The sequence below is a fragment of the Homo sapiens genome, chromosome 3 (genome assembly GCF_000001405.40).
Source record: "Homo sapiens chromosome 3, GRCh38.p14 Primary Assembly".
Taxonomy (NCBI): domain Eukaryota; kingdom Metazoa; phylum Chordata; class Mammalia; order Primates; family Hominidae; genus Homo; species Homo sapiens.
In genome coordinates this window covers 121,913,427-121,927,516 of record NC_000003.12, presented here as the reverse complement: position 1 = coordinate 121,927,516, position 14,090 = coordinate 121,913,427, and the positions used below count along the sequence as shown (strand labels likewise).

Genomic DNA, 14,090 nt, shown 5'->3' with positions numbered 1-14,090 from the left:
TGGGAGAAGCCAAAGGTGGAATAGGCATGTCACATGGTGAAAGCAGAAGCAAGCGAGGAGATGGGAGGTGCCACACACTTTTAAATGACCAGATCTTGTGAGAACTCATTCACTATCATGAAGATAGCACCACAGAATGGTGCTAAACCCTTCATGAGAATTCACTCCCATGATCCAGTCATGTCCCACCAGGCCCCACCTTTATCACTGGGAATTACATTTCAACATGAGATTTTGGCAGGGACAAATATTCAAACCATATCATTCCATCTCTAGCCCCCCAAAAATCTCATGTCCTTCTCACATTGCAAAATACAATTATATCTTCCCAATAGTTCCCCAAATTTTAACTCATTCCAGCACAAACTCAATCAAAAGTTCCAAGTCCAAAGTCTCATTTGAAATAAGGCAAGTCCCTTCCACCCATGAGCCTATAAAATCAAAACAACTTATTGACTCCCCAAATAAAATGGGGGTATAGATACTGGGTAAACATTCCCATTCCAAAAGGGAGAAACTGGCCAAAACAAATGGGCTACAGGCCCCAGGCAAGTCTGAAACACAGCAGGGCAGTTATTAAATCTTAAAGTTCCAGAATAATCTCCTTTGACTCCATGTCCCACATTCAGGGCACACCAATACAAGGGGTGGGCTCCCAAGGACTTGGATAGCTCCACCCTTGTGGCTTTGCAGAGTTCAGCCCCTGTGGCTGCTCTCACAGGTTGTTGAGTGCCCGTGGTTTTCCAGGCCCAGGGTGCAAGCTGCCAGTGGGTCTATCATTCTGGGGTCTGGAGGATGGTGGCCCCCTTCTCACAGCTGCACTAGGCAGTGTCCTTGTGGGGACTCTGTGTGGGAGCTCCAACCCCACATTTTACCTCCACACTGCCCTAGTAGAGGTACTCTCTGGGGGCTCCACCCCTGCAGCCGGTTTCTGCATGAACACCCACACTTTCTCATACAGCCTCTGAAATCTAGGTGAAGGGTGCCAAGCATTCTTCATTCTTGCACTCTGTATGCCTGCAGGCTTAACACCATGTAGAAGCCACCAAGGTTTATGGCTTGTACCCTCTGGAGAAACAGACATGTCACATGGTGAAAGCAGGAGCAAGTGAAGGGTAGGGAGATACTACATGCTTTTAAATGGTCAGATCCCACTAGAACTCACTATCATAAGGACAGCACCAACGGGATAGCACTAAACCATTTATGAGGAATTCATCCCCATGATCCGACTACCTCCCACCAGACCCCACCTCCAACATCCAACATTGGGGATTACATTTCAACATGAGATTTGAGTGGGTACAAATATTCAAACTGCATCAAAGACTTTTCCTGATTTGATCCCAATTACTTTCCTTTTTTAAATCCATGTTTCCATGACCAATTACTTTTCAAGGGATTTCCTAGAACTCCCCTTCATACATTCTTCTTTCTTCTTGTTCTTGAGTCACATTGAACTGCTCTTCTCTGTGATACACCACATTTACCCACCTCCATCTTTGCTTATGATGGTTTTTCTATTCGCTATGTCATAACACCAAAAATAATGGCAATACAATCAGGTTTATTGAACAAATGCCATATGCCAAGTGCTGTACATGCTTTACCTCACATTCCTCTGCAGAAATCTGTTGGCTTTGGCAGGGGAGGGACTTTTTCTTTTCTACCTCTCCTTGGCACTTGATCTTCCCTTCTTAGGACACTTATTTTACCTGTGTAGTAGTTGTATTTTATATATATATATATATATATATATATATATATATATATATATATATATATATATAGTCTAGCCCCTTTACTAAGTAATAAACTGTTTGAGGGAAATGTTGTTTTTTTTTTTGCTTGATTTATATTTTCATGACACTTGGTCCTAAACTTCCCAACATTTGCTCAATGAACAAATGACAAAGGGCCATTTTCATCTGGTAAAGTGGTCATCACAATGAAATTGCTATTAAATCAAGAATGAAAGAAGGCTTGAAACTTTCTTTTGCCAAACTCTAAAAAAGACTAGTCCTTCTATTTAGAAAAAATTTCAGGCAGTAATTGGGAATAATTCAGTCCCCAGTCCTACTAGGTTCCCCATTTGTTTTGTAGGGACAACAGGAGATTTAAAGGGATTAGTAGTCATCAAAGGCCTTGAGTTTCTTTGAAGAGACAACATTCAAGAACAAAGAAGAAAGTTGGTTTAGGAGCTAAATTTCACATATTTTTGGTTTGGCATGAAACCTAGACCTGCCCCTCCACCACCATTACACAGTTAAGTCCACAGTAATGGCTTTGACTCTCATTAATTATATCTAATTCACATTTTTCAGGGTCAATAGGCAGTTAGTCTAACATGGAAAAATAGAAGCAGATAGATGATAAACTAAAACCAATCCTCACTAAGAAAAATACTGACATTGAATCTTTTTCAAACTGGGCAAAGACTGAGTCAATTTAGAGTAATCCATACAGACATAGTGAACACTTACGAGAAGTTAATTCCACACTTGGAGACCAGACGATAAATGACAAAGTCAAACAACGGGATGAAGATAAGAACCAGAAGGGGATTTAGAACCTGTAACACCATGATAAAAAGGATTAGCTACAAATATTCTCCTATCATGAGTGTGAGCACTGCACTCATTTGCTTGTTTACACTCTGTCTCACATCTACACACACTTTTGTCATTGTAAGTACAGAATGACTCCACATTCCTCAGTCCATTTACACCCAAGACCCTATTTCCCTTGCATAGCATTTTAGCTTTCAAATATCCCAAGGGACAAGTTTCACTCTGAGCCTGTCTTTCTGCCAGCCTTATTGTGAGCTCTTTCCTCTCATGACTTCATTGCTCACAAAATAAGCCTTACAATTTCTTTTACAAGATTTTGATTATACTATCTTGACTTGGAAAAAAATCCAATGCTTACACTTAACCCGTTGCAAGTTAAGTACTTAACAGGGGATGTGAAGGAGAAGGGTGGGGCTTAATGGGAATGTTTTCATGTCGAAGCTTGGCCCTTATCAGCGTACAAGGAGAAAAGCATCAAATTATGGTTGTTAATCGTAATACTGCAGGTGGAGGCATAGATAAGGAAACAAATAAGTCCCCATGGCTATAGAAGAGTCACATACCTGCATCTGGTCCGGCTGAAGCACAAAAAACCCCTGAAACATTTTAACAAATTAATTTAGTTGATGTCTGAAGAAAAGAAAAAAAAATGTTGGCCTAGATCAATAATTTTGCTAGTTAGCAAGTGAGAAACATATGAGAGAAAATTCATCAGGTCTTTGGTTCAGGGCCACTATTTTGCTGTTAAGATTATTTGGGGGATGGGAACAGACTTGGGAAAGCTTCTGGCTATGTTTGCCAGGCAGATGGGCCTAAGGGAGAAATTATTTTCTATGTATTATGCTTTCCTTAACTTGAAAGAGAATAGAGTCAGTGCATTTTTATTGATCTCAGCAACTGCAGTTCTAGGTTGTAATAATATGAAGGGCAAGACATCATGGTTAGGGTGAAGACTCTCCCTGACACATAGTGTTTCCAAAGTTGTTCTCCAGAGGGTCAACAAGAAGACCACCATGGTAAATAAGAGACAGCCAGAGGAAGGGAAAAGGTAAAATTATATTTTGCAGGCTCCAAATAGACTGACTAATAAGACCCTGGTATCATTCTACTCTGTCTTTTCAAAAACTGAGAAGATAGAAAAATAATACACTAATCTAGGAAAAGAACAATTGAGAGTAGAGATGGTACCTTATTTGAGTGGGCTAAAGAATGGAGTTTGGAAAAAGAGAAAATAATACGTATAACCTTCTCATTCTTTCCATATCCATACATACAAAATATTCCATTTCCCACAGGTCCCCTGCTGTGATCCTTGTTGAAGAGATAGACCAATTGCGTAGTAGTGCCACTCAAACCTGTCCCTGCTGTACTCTGGGATAGGCTTAGACAGAAGAAAATCACTATCCCAGGTTACGCATCACATCATTTGCTAGCCTCTCAATACTTCCTTGTATACATTGAAACTTTCTCATCCTTATGTTCCTGATTTCTAAAGAGAAGATTCTGGTTTTTATTTCTAAACTAGCTTTCTTTATCTTTGCCTACACGGTACCTTCAGGCTAAAAGCACTTCTCTGAAGATCTTGTTAGTTTTCAGGCAAAATCACAAAGAAATTAATTTTTCCCCAATATGGATGATGAAGAAAATAATAGACTTCTCTGGAAAATCTCTTCTACTCACCAAATTCCTATTCATCCTGATGGCTTGCAAAGTCCATCGTGAACCCTAGGGCAAACAGATCCTGTTATGAGAAATCCCTTTCCTGTGAGAGGGAAGTGGCTGTAAGGAGCGGTAATGTCCAAAAGAACTATTCTTACCTGCTGATCCAAAAGAGCCCAGAACATGGGCAATGGGATATAAAGGAATAGTACCCTGGTCAGTGCCTTTACATCCATAATGAGCTGCTTCTGCGAAAAGGAGGAAGAATGGGCAGAAATGCTAGAAGTTCTGTACATGGCTTTCTTGCTTAAAGTAGAAGTGTCCAAAAAACAGTAGAGAGGAGGTTGAATGCAGTAGGATAGAATCATTTTGAACATTAGGAAAGACTCTATCAAGCCATAAGATGTTTCTGCATTTCCAACTTACTGGATATTTCTCAGCCGCCCAGTCTAGCCAGTGCTGTCGCTTTGGAATGTCTCCAGAACGGTTCTTGAAACGATTGGAAATAGCAAACTAGGGCAGAGAGTAGACATCATGGGAGAGACAAAGAGAAAAACATCCTCTGCCTTTTCCAACTTATTATACCTTCCTTCAAACACCATACTTCTAGTGACTTATTCCAACTCTTTGACCTAATCAGGCATTGAATTTCAGAATATTTCTGATATAATTTTATCTATCACTTTAAGAAAGAACTTGCCATTCAAAACAAAAAATAACAACAAAAAAGAAAAAATGTTATCTGTCTATATATAATTACATTTCAGAAGATTTTTGCCAACTTAAAAAGATGATTACTTTTTTTAACTTAATGGTTAAGTAGAGGCATAAGAAGAAGACTGGTTAATCTTAGCTTGTTAAAAAACATGAAAATAGAATAGAGGTCATTGAGAAAAATGTATGCCCACGTTTGAAGGCCCATATTCTCAGCATAGCATCTCTTTCTTTTGATTGAAAAAGGCAAGAAAACAATTTATGGACTTACCCAGATACATTTGAAAACTTGAGCCACTATGTTTCCTTCAGGGGGTGGTTTATTGTATATTTTGCTTCCCATTGCAAACACAACTGCAGTTGATACACAAACAAGGTTCTTAGCTTCTCATTTATTAGGTTGGTGCAAAGGTTATTGCAGTTTTGCCATTACTTTCAATGGCAAAAACCACAATAACTTTTGCACAAACCTAAATAGCACATTCAGTATATCAGCGCTAAGGACAGAATGCTGAACTGTGGGAGTGGCTGGCAAATCTCATAAAGAGGGAGCTGACTTACATTTCCTGACTTTTGGAGTTATCAAAATTGCAGGAGCCAAGAGAAGACAAAATGGTATGTTGTTAAGAGAGATATCTATTGAGACTTTCATGTAATCACAGAAGTGGAAGTCATCTTTGACTTCTTACTCTTCTTTCTCCATCTCCATATCTGAAATGTTACCAAGTTTTATTGGTCCTCTTTCTTTAACGTATTGCCTATTTGCCCCCTCTTTCACTTTACTACTGCTACCACTCTTGTTCAGGACTTCACAACTTGTACTTTGGATTATTAAAATGGCCACCAACTAGTTTCTCATTCCCTAGTCTCTTCCTTCTTTAATCTGATGCCAAATGTTTCTTTCCAGGATCTATTAATACTTACCTGACCCAAACTCCTGGCATGAAAGACCTTCCCAAATTCATTGTTATCCTAATGGTTATTGTTATCCCTAACATCTATTTGAAGGTTTATCACATGTAACTTGTTAAGCATTTTACATACATTAATTGATTTAGCTTGACAAAATATGTACCACTATCTCTATTTTATACATGAAGGAATATTAAGGAAATTAAGCACCTTGTACAAGGTTACACTGCTAGAAGATACCAGAACTGGACTTTTGACCTGAGGCTTGACTGACTCAAAAATCTATGTATTTAATCCTTATAATGCATCTCACTCACTAATTCTTACACCACATACTGTACTAGACACTACTGGTAACACAGGTGAAAAAAACAAGGTCCCTGTCCTCAAAGGAGTTCACCTCAACCTGCCGTTTCCCACTTTATATTTCATCTATCTTTTTGAGATACCCTATGCTGTAAACACTATTCATCATTTATACAAACACTTCTGTTCTATACTATTTCTGTTCTTGAGCTCATTCTGTTTCTTTCAGCCCATATCTCTGTCCTTTAACCACATATCCACAGCTAATTGTAAGGGAATTTCATTTCTTTAATTTTCCTTTTATTTTCCAAATTAACAATGAGCTGGTATTACCTTTGTAGTTATAAAATAGTGGTTTTTTCAATTTCATTCAATTAAAATCAGTAGAAATACTCCATCTTGGTTCCCTCCCAGATGCACTTTCCTCCTTAACGGATTTCCCAGCTTCAGCGTGATGCCCCTCTAGTAGATCCTCTGCTAAAGATGATTTTCTCAGTGACAAGTAGCATTTTCCAGTATCCTTACACATCAGAATGCACAAATCACTTTACTTTTCTCTCCCATCACTTTTTAATATCTCCATTCGTCTCATTTAGATTCACTCTACCACTTTTTCTCATTCATCCTCTCAATTTCCCCAAAGCTTCTCCAAATAGCATCCTTTATCTATAATACCCTTCTCATGGTTGATAGAAAAAATAGTTCAGTGGAGGAATGCTAATCCTGAGAGTCAAGTGGGCAGATAAAAAAGTACCTAGACGGCTGGGCGCGGTGGCTCACACCCGTAAACTTAGCAGTTTGGAAGGCTAAGGCGGATGGATTACAAGGTCGAGAGATTGAGCTGACCAACCTGGCCAACATGGTGAAACCCCATCTCTGCTAAAAATACAAAAATTAGCTGGGCGTGGTGGTGCGCACCTGTAGTCCCAGCTACTTAGGCGCTAAGGCAGGAGAATCACTTGAACCTCAGAGGCGGAGGTTGCAGTGAGCTGAGATTGCGCCACCACACTCCAGCCTGCTGACACAGTGAGACTATGTCTCCAAAAAAAGTAAAAAATAAAAAACAAAAAAAGAGATACCTGGACAAAGGAAAATTTTGGGTAGGGAATAAACTGCTCCTGAAACTAAGAATGATCCTAGAAAGAGGCTGGACACCACAGGAATGCTGGTTGCAATAGTGACAGTGGAGTGATAATAGGAAGACTTATGTAATCAACTAAAGTCATACTTACATGTCAAAGACACTTAACTAAAGAAGATGAGTATAAACCTTGAATTTCTCTACTATCTACTCCTTCTAGTAGATGATGTTGCCTCTTACTTCACAAAGAAAATGGAAACCTTCAAATGGAAACTCCTTCAACTCCCTGCCACCAGATCTATTAATTCTTGTATCCACACTCATCCTGTCCTCCCTCCAGGTAGGTGAAGGTGATATTCCTCCTCCTATCCGCAGCTAATTTGCTCATATGTGTTTTCATACTGATTATACTGTCTTTATCTTGTATCTTCAACCTCTTTCTCCACTGGATTATTCCTAATAATATTCACACATGCTCAATATCCTCTCTTGAATCCATGTCACCTTCCAACTATAAATACTATTTCACTTTCTTACTGATAGTGACAAGAGACAGATAAATTCCTAGGCAGACACGGACGGGTCCCAGTGAAACCCGACCTTCAAGCCAAAGACAGTTTAAAGCCTGAAAACCGACTTGCCGGTTCCTGATAGAGTCCATGACCTGAGTGAGAACTTCTATCTCCGTCTTATCCTCTCTCTCCATTGGTTCCTTTTGGATGATGCCTTTTAACCAATCTAGTGGTACTTTTTCCAAACCCACCCATGGACCAATCAGCATGTACTCCCCCATTCAAAACCCATAAAAAACCCACACTAAGCCTCACAGACGGCTACCTACTTCGGGTCCCCTCTAGGAGCTCAGAGCTTTCCTTCTGCCACTCAATAAAATTCTTCTCTGCTTTACTCACTCTCTGGTGTCCACACACCCCATTCCTCTTCATCATGGGACAAGAACCCGGAACTTGCTGAGCTGTGGGTGATGGGAATGAAAGGGCTGTGACACCCCTGGGCAGCTCGCCAAGCTATGGGCAGCGGGAATAAAAGAGCCGTAACACGCTCCCGCTCGCTAGACTACAGGAGAGAGTTGTAACATGCTCCTGCTCGTTGAACTACAGGAGTGAACAGCTGTAACATTTCTGGGGGCTCAGACCTTGGGACTCCCTGAGCAGGAGCTATAACACCTCTTAGGACTCTGCAATTGCTAGCATCTCCGAGTTTTTGGGCGCCACCGTGTTCCCCTTGTCTAGATGCCGCACCCAACACAGAAGCTGCTCGCTACATGCCCAGTCCAGTCGCAGGCTGAGCGAGCCCAGTGGGCCAGAGCAAGGCCCAGACAGAGGCGGTAGTGGCCACAGAGATTTCTGGCTGACAAAGCAGCACTGAAGGAATCCTGTAACATTTACTTCTCAGTCTCCTCCAATCAGTCTTCAGCCTCCACCATTTACCATAACTGATCTAATCGTATCAGTGACCTCCTTGTTGTTGTATTTAATAGACATCTGTCACCCTTATCTTAATCTCCCACTCAGGAACATTTATCACTCTAAATGAATCTTTTCTTGAAATCTTCTTCATATCCAAGATAACGCTATTACCACTTTGGCCATTCCTTCTTAGTCTCATTTGTGGGCTTTTCCTCTTTGCCTGTCTTTTAAATCCTGGCGTTTCTTGAAGTTTGAACCTATCCCCCCACCCCACTTTTTTTTTTAACCTTACTCTTCTAGCTTTTAGTTATCTATCTTCATTTCATGGTTTATTGCTACCCATATACTAATGACTCCAGATCTATATCTATAGTGCAAACATTTCTTCTAAGCTCTAATCCTGTATTTCCAAATAACTGTTTGGTAACTCCAATTAAATATTCCAAGAACATATAAAATGCAACATGTTCAAAACTAAATTTATCAACATTGCCCCAAACTGGCTTTTCCTCACTAGCTCAGTTAATAACCCCACTACCTACCCAGTTGTTCAAGGTTCAGAACACTACATTAAACCTTGGCTTATCTTCTCCCTCACTTAACATATCTAACCATTCTAAGGTTTGTTAATTCAACCAGGGCCAGATTAGGGTAAACTGAGTGAAGCACTCATCTCAAGCACTAAATTTAAGCAAGTATCAAAAAATTCGGTAATCAAAATAAATATTATCTTTGCCTCACTCCAACACAATCCTTTCTCTACATTATAGAAACATCATTGAAAAATTAAAATCTAGCAATTATTCCTCTGTTAAAATGTTTTTAGAGTTCCCCACTCTCCCTCACAATAAAGTTCTAATTTCTTATTGGTTTAAAAGGCCCTTCATTATCTGGTTTCTGGCAGTTTCTCCTCTTTATCATTCTTTTTTATGCTTTAGGTAATCTGAATGCCTTTAAAACCTTTAAACATGTCATGCTATTTCTCAGCCTCTTGTCTTACAGCTACTGTGTCCTCTTTCTGCATCACTTATAATTTCTTTATTGATTAATTGCTGTTTGGCCCTTAGGTCTCACCTTAAATGTCATTCCTTTAGGCAAACTTTTTACAATCCCCAAAGTATTATTTATTTATTTATTATTTTATTCATTTATTTATTTTTGAGACAGGGGCTTGCTCTGTTGCCCAGGCTGAAGTGCAGTGGCTCAATCATGGCTCATCGCAGCCTTGACCTTCTGGGCTCAAGCGATCCTCCCATCTCAGCCTCCCAAATAGTTGGGATCATAGGTGTGCGCCATCATACTCGGCTAATTTTTAAATGTTTGTATAGATGGAGTCATGCTGTGTTGTCCAGGATGGTCTCAAACTCCTGAGCTCACGCAATCCTCCTGCCTCGGCCTCCCAAAGTGCTGGGATTACAGGTGTGAGCCACTATGCCCGGTCCCTCAAGGTCTTAATTAAACATTGCTTCTATGCATTCCCATAGCTCTCTCTGTACTTTCCTAGATCACACTATATTGATCTGGGAAATACTGATCATACCATATTGTAAATTCCTTTTATTTGTTTGTCTTCCTTTCCCTACTGAACTATATAAGTTCTTTGGGAACATGAATGCTCTAGGTATCTAATTCACCAATGTGATCCCAATACCTAGCACATAATATGGCACACAATAGGTTCATTAAATGTTGGTTAAAAAAATGAGTGAATGAAAAAATAAATTAATTGGCTGGGCGTGGTGGCTCACACCTGTAATCCTAGCACTTTGGGAGGCTGAGGCAGGCAGATCACAAGGTCAGGAGATCGAGACCATCCTGGCTAACACGGTGAAACCCTGTCTCTACTAAAAATACAAAAAATTAGCCAGGCATGGTGGTGGGCGCCTGTAGTCCCAGCTACTCGGGAGGCTGAGGCAGGAGAATGGCGTGAACCCGGGACGTGGAGCTTGCAGTGAGCCGAGATCATGCCACTGCACTCCAGCCTGGGCGACAGAGCGAGACTCCATCTCAAAAAAGAAAAAAAAAGAAAAAAGAAATTAATTACAGTAAAAGATCAGAGAATTGAGTTATTGATTAGCACCCAGAAAACTGAAGCTGCTGACTAATAATGACAGCTAGCACTTGTTTAACATTTCATAATTTATGAAACATTTCATTTATAGCATCTCTGTTTTATCTTCATAATTACTCTGTTATGTAAATATTATTATCATGCAAATATTTGGGAAAATATTTGGCTTTGAATGCAGAAGGAAGTAAAGAATATATTATCACAGCTCACCTATAATAAATTTCCTTGGCATTGGGAATTCTGAGTACTACTATCAGTGCCCTCCCATCAACTCCCTGGTAGAAAATACACTGAGCATTGAGTCTGTAGGCTGTTTTTCCTCTGTTGAGCTCTTTATGGGTTTGCACTGGATATCTTCCAAGGGGGTGTCACTCTGAGGCTCAGAGTGGAGAACAGGTTTCCAGGTCAATGATTAGAAATAATCATGCCCAAGTTTTCCCTTAGGCTATGTAAAATAAGGAACACCACATCCCTCTTCTCTTCCAGGACTGGGTTCTCAGGGATAAAGAGAATGCCACTTGATTTAAGTTGCATTAATTTTCACCTATTTATCCAACTCCTCTTATTCTCTTTACTCAAGGGCAGACCCTTTGGGGGCACTACAGAGCAGGGCAGAAATAGCTAAACCTAGAAGCTGTTTTAAAAGGCTTGGAGAATTTAAAATCTTTTCCAATTACCAGATAAATAAGTATAATATGAAGTAAACTAATTTGAAAGAGGATTATCTTCCTTGCTTCCCTATATATTGTAGTGTAGAGCAGTGGATCTCCACCTTGACTATACATTAGAATGACCCGAGATACTAAAAAAAAGCCCAAGTCCCTGACTGGCCCAGAGTTTGGACTTTTTAAGGCTCCCCAGAAAGCATCTTACTGGTTATGCAACCTTAGGCACTTTTTTCTTAAAGTTTCTGACTTCATTCAGAATTTACCTCCAAAATTGAGGGGAAACCCTTACAATAACAGTTACCCAATAGGCCTGGTGTGAGGATTGAATGAAACAGCTTGTGTAAAGTGCCTACATGATGCTTTACATGTGTCAGGTATCAATGATTATTAGTTTCCTTTGCTTCACTGCACTTACCAAGTGCAATTACCATGAGCAGTCCTGGAACTCCAAAAGCCAATGCATAGCAGTCTTCTCCAAAACATTGCACATCTCCTAAAGAAAATGGGATGGGAGGAGGAAAGTAACTCTGAGTCTTGAATATTTGATGTTTTATTCTACAAGCTCAGGTTGTTGAATAAACCTGAGCTTGTAGAATAGACATAACCACCCTCTTTCCTCCCATCACCTAATCCATAGTTCTTCTTTTGGGCCAGACAAATCAAGACTAAAATAAATTTTCACAGATTATCAAGCTCTTATAAAAGGAGATGATAGACAGGAGAAAGCCTTGAACAGCTTTTTGGCTGACCAGAGCAAAGCCTTATACAGGGCCCCTCAAAAAAATCCTAACCTCTCAGCATGGGTGTGATAAATGTAGAAATCAAGCTCCCTGCATTGATGGACAGGTAGAAGACTGAGAAGTATCTAGTCCGTTCCTCTGCCTGAAACAAACAGGATAAATCATCAGTGCAATGTGTCCCCTAGCTCCAGCCCCACTCCACGTTCAGATTCAGAGCTGAAGGTACACACAAAGAGAAAGATTCAGATATTGCCTCCACAATACCTGAATTTCATATTATTAATAGATATTTAAAAACATTGCTGGCTGACCCCAATCATTTACTCACCTTTCAAACTCCAGAGCAGCTTTAGCATTCTTTTCCTCCCTTTTCATAGGTTAAAAATAATCTTCCTGTCTTCAGTGCCACTACCGTATCCTGTATATAGCTATTCTAATATTAATGTCTTTGCATTAAATGTCTGGGTTTTTTATTTCATGTGTGTGTTTGTGGTTTTTTTTTTTTTTTTTTGAGATGGAGTCTCACTCTGCCGCCCAGGCTGGAATGCAGTGGCGCAGTCTCAGCTTACTGCAAACTCCGCCTCCCGGGCTCAAGCCATTCTCCTGCCTCTGCCTCCCGTAAGTGTCTGTTTTTTCAGTATGTTGTGAGTTTCTTTAGAGCAGAAATTTTATCTTACTCATTTCTGTAATCACCAATACCTAGCACAGCATCCGACATATATTAGGGACTCGATAAATGTTTATTGACTGTATTAACTAAGTGAATGCCTGATTTAGTTAAATAATAGATTTTGTGGTAGGAGTGTGTGGTAGGAATAGTACCAGAACATAGGACAGTGGAGTCAACTGTTAATGAAGGAGGATAGTTCACCTAGTGCTTAACGGAGATTTGCCAGAGAGTCTAAAAAGAAATCATCTGGCTTAGAAGTGGCTAGTGGAAACCTGGAGGCAGATTTGTCTTACTAATTGAAATATCTTTGTGGAGCAGTTACCAAATGAAACAACTTTCAAATAAAGTTGCTGATGTTTCGTTCATTATACACCGACATGCTTCATTCTGACACCCCAGATCTCTCCCTGCCATATTAGAACAACGAGTCCTTCCCCATTTTCTATTTATAGTGTGTTTTGTTTCCTCTCCTGGTTTCAATTTAAACCTTATTCCACTTATCTAATTTGTATAGTTCATCATACACAGGATCCCACTTGCCAAAAGTTGGTTCTTTCTCCAAAGTCAGCAAGCAATTATGATCTATGGACTCTTTGACAGATAAAGAGTATAAAATAACCCAAATGGTCTGAAAGGTAAGAAAAACACTGGAAGACAGGACAGGATAGCAGAGGCAGAAGGAGATAATAGGCATTATGTCAGGGTGGAAGAGGGAAGAGGAAAGAGAGAGAGAGAGAGTGGCGGGAGGTGGGGGGGAGAGAGAGAAAGAGAGAAGGAGTGGGGGAGAAAAAGAGAAACTGGAAAAAAGATAAACAGTTATAGAAGAGAGAATGGATACATGAAGACAGACAAAACTGAAAACTGGAAGCAAAACTGAGGAAGCCAGAAATGTTGACAGATCTAGAAATAGACTATTTCCTTGCCTATTTGTCACTGCTTTCTCATAAATGCCCATTTATTTTTCACCACTGGTAATGGAAAGTATTTAGGAAGAGAGGGAATGATCAGTCAGGGAAATTCATCTATAGACATTCATTACGTTTCCTTGCAATTTGTCACTTTCCCATTTCATGGAATCTCAAAACAAGATGCTAAAATCATCTCTATACTACTTATCACCTCCCATTGCCAAAGTGCTTACCACATTTCTTTCTAAATACCTCAAGTTAGAGTAAACTTACTACTTCCAATTGTTTGAAGTTTTTCCACCCATCAAGCAAAACACTGGCTTCTTGGAGGCTTTCACTCATTGGTCTCAGGTTTAATCACTGA

At 39.9% G+C, this 14,090-nt stretch overlaps 1 protein-coding gene across 4 annotated transcripts in view; it reads right to left on the bottom strand.

Moving 5' to 3' along the window:
- The window catches only part of SLC15A2 (solute carrier family 15 member 2), a 49,788-nt gene that overhangs the window by 16,672 nt on the left and 19,026 nt on the right, over nucleotides 1-14,090 (bottom strand). For all 4 annotated transcript variants that reach the window (NM_021082.4, XM_005247722.4, NM_001145998.2 and 1 more), the window contains 8 exons: nucleotides 12,200-12,290; nucleotides 11,824-11,901; nucleotides 5,215-5,297; nucleotides 4,656-4,742; nucleotides 4,388-4,477; nucleotides 4,251-4,295; nucleotides 3,134-3,166; nucleotides 2,484-2,572 (listed from right to left, as the gene is read on the bottom strand). In NM_021082.4, coding sequence (NP_066568.3) covers nucleotides 2,484-2,572; nucleotides 3,134-3,166; nucleotides 4,251-4,295; nucleotides 4,388-4,477; nucleotides 4,656-4,742; nucleotides 5,215-5,297; nucleotides 11,824-11,901; nucleotides 12,200-12,290 — 596 coding nt within the window. The remainder of the gene's footprint in view (nucleotides 1-2,483; nucleotides 2,573-3,133; nucleotides 3,167-4,250; nucleotides 4,296-4,387; nucleotides 4,478-4,655; nucleotides 4,743-5,214; nucleotides 5,298-11,823; nucleotides 11,902-12,199; nucleotides 12,291-14,090) is intronic.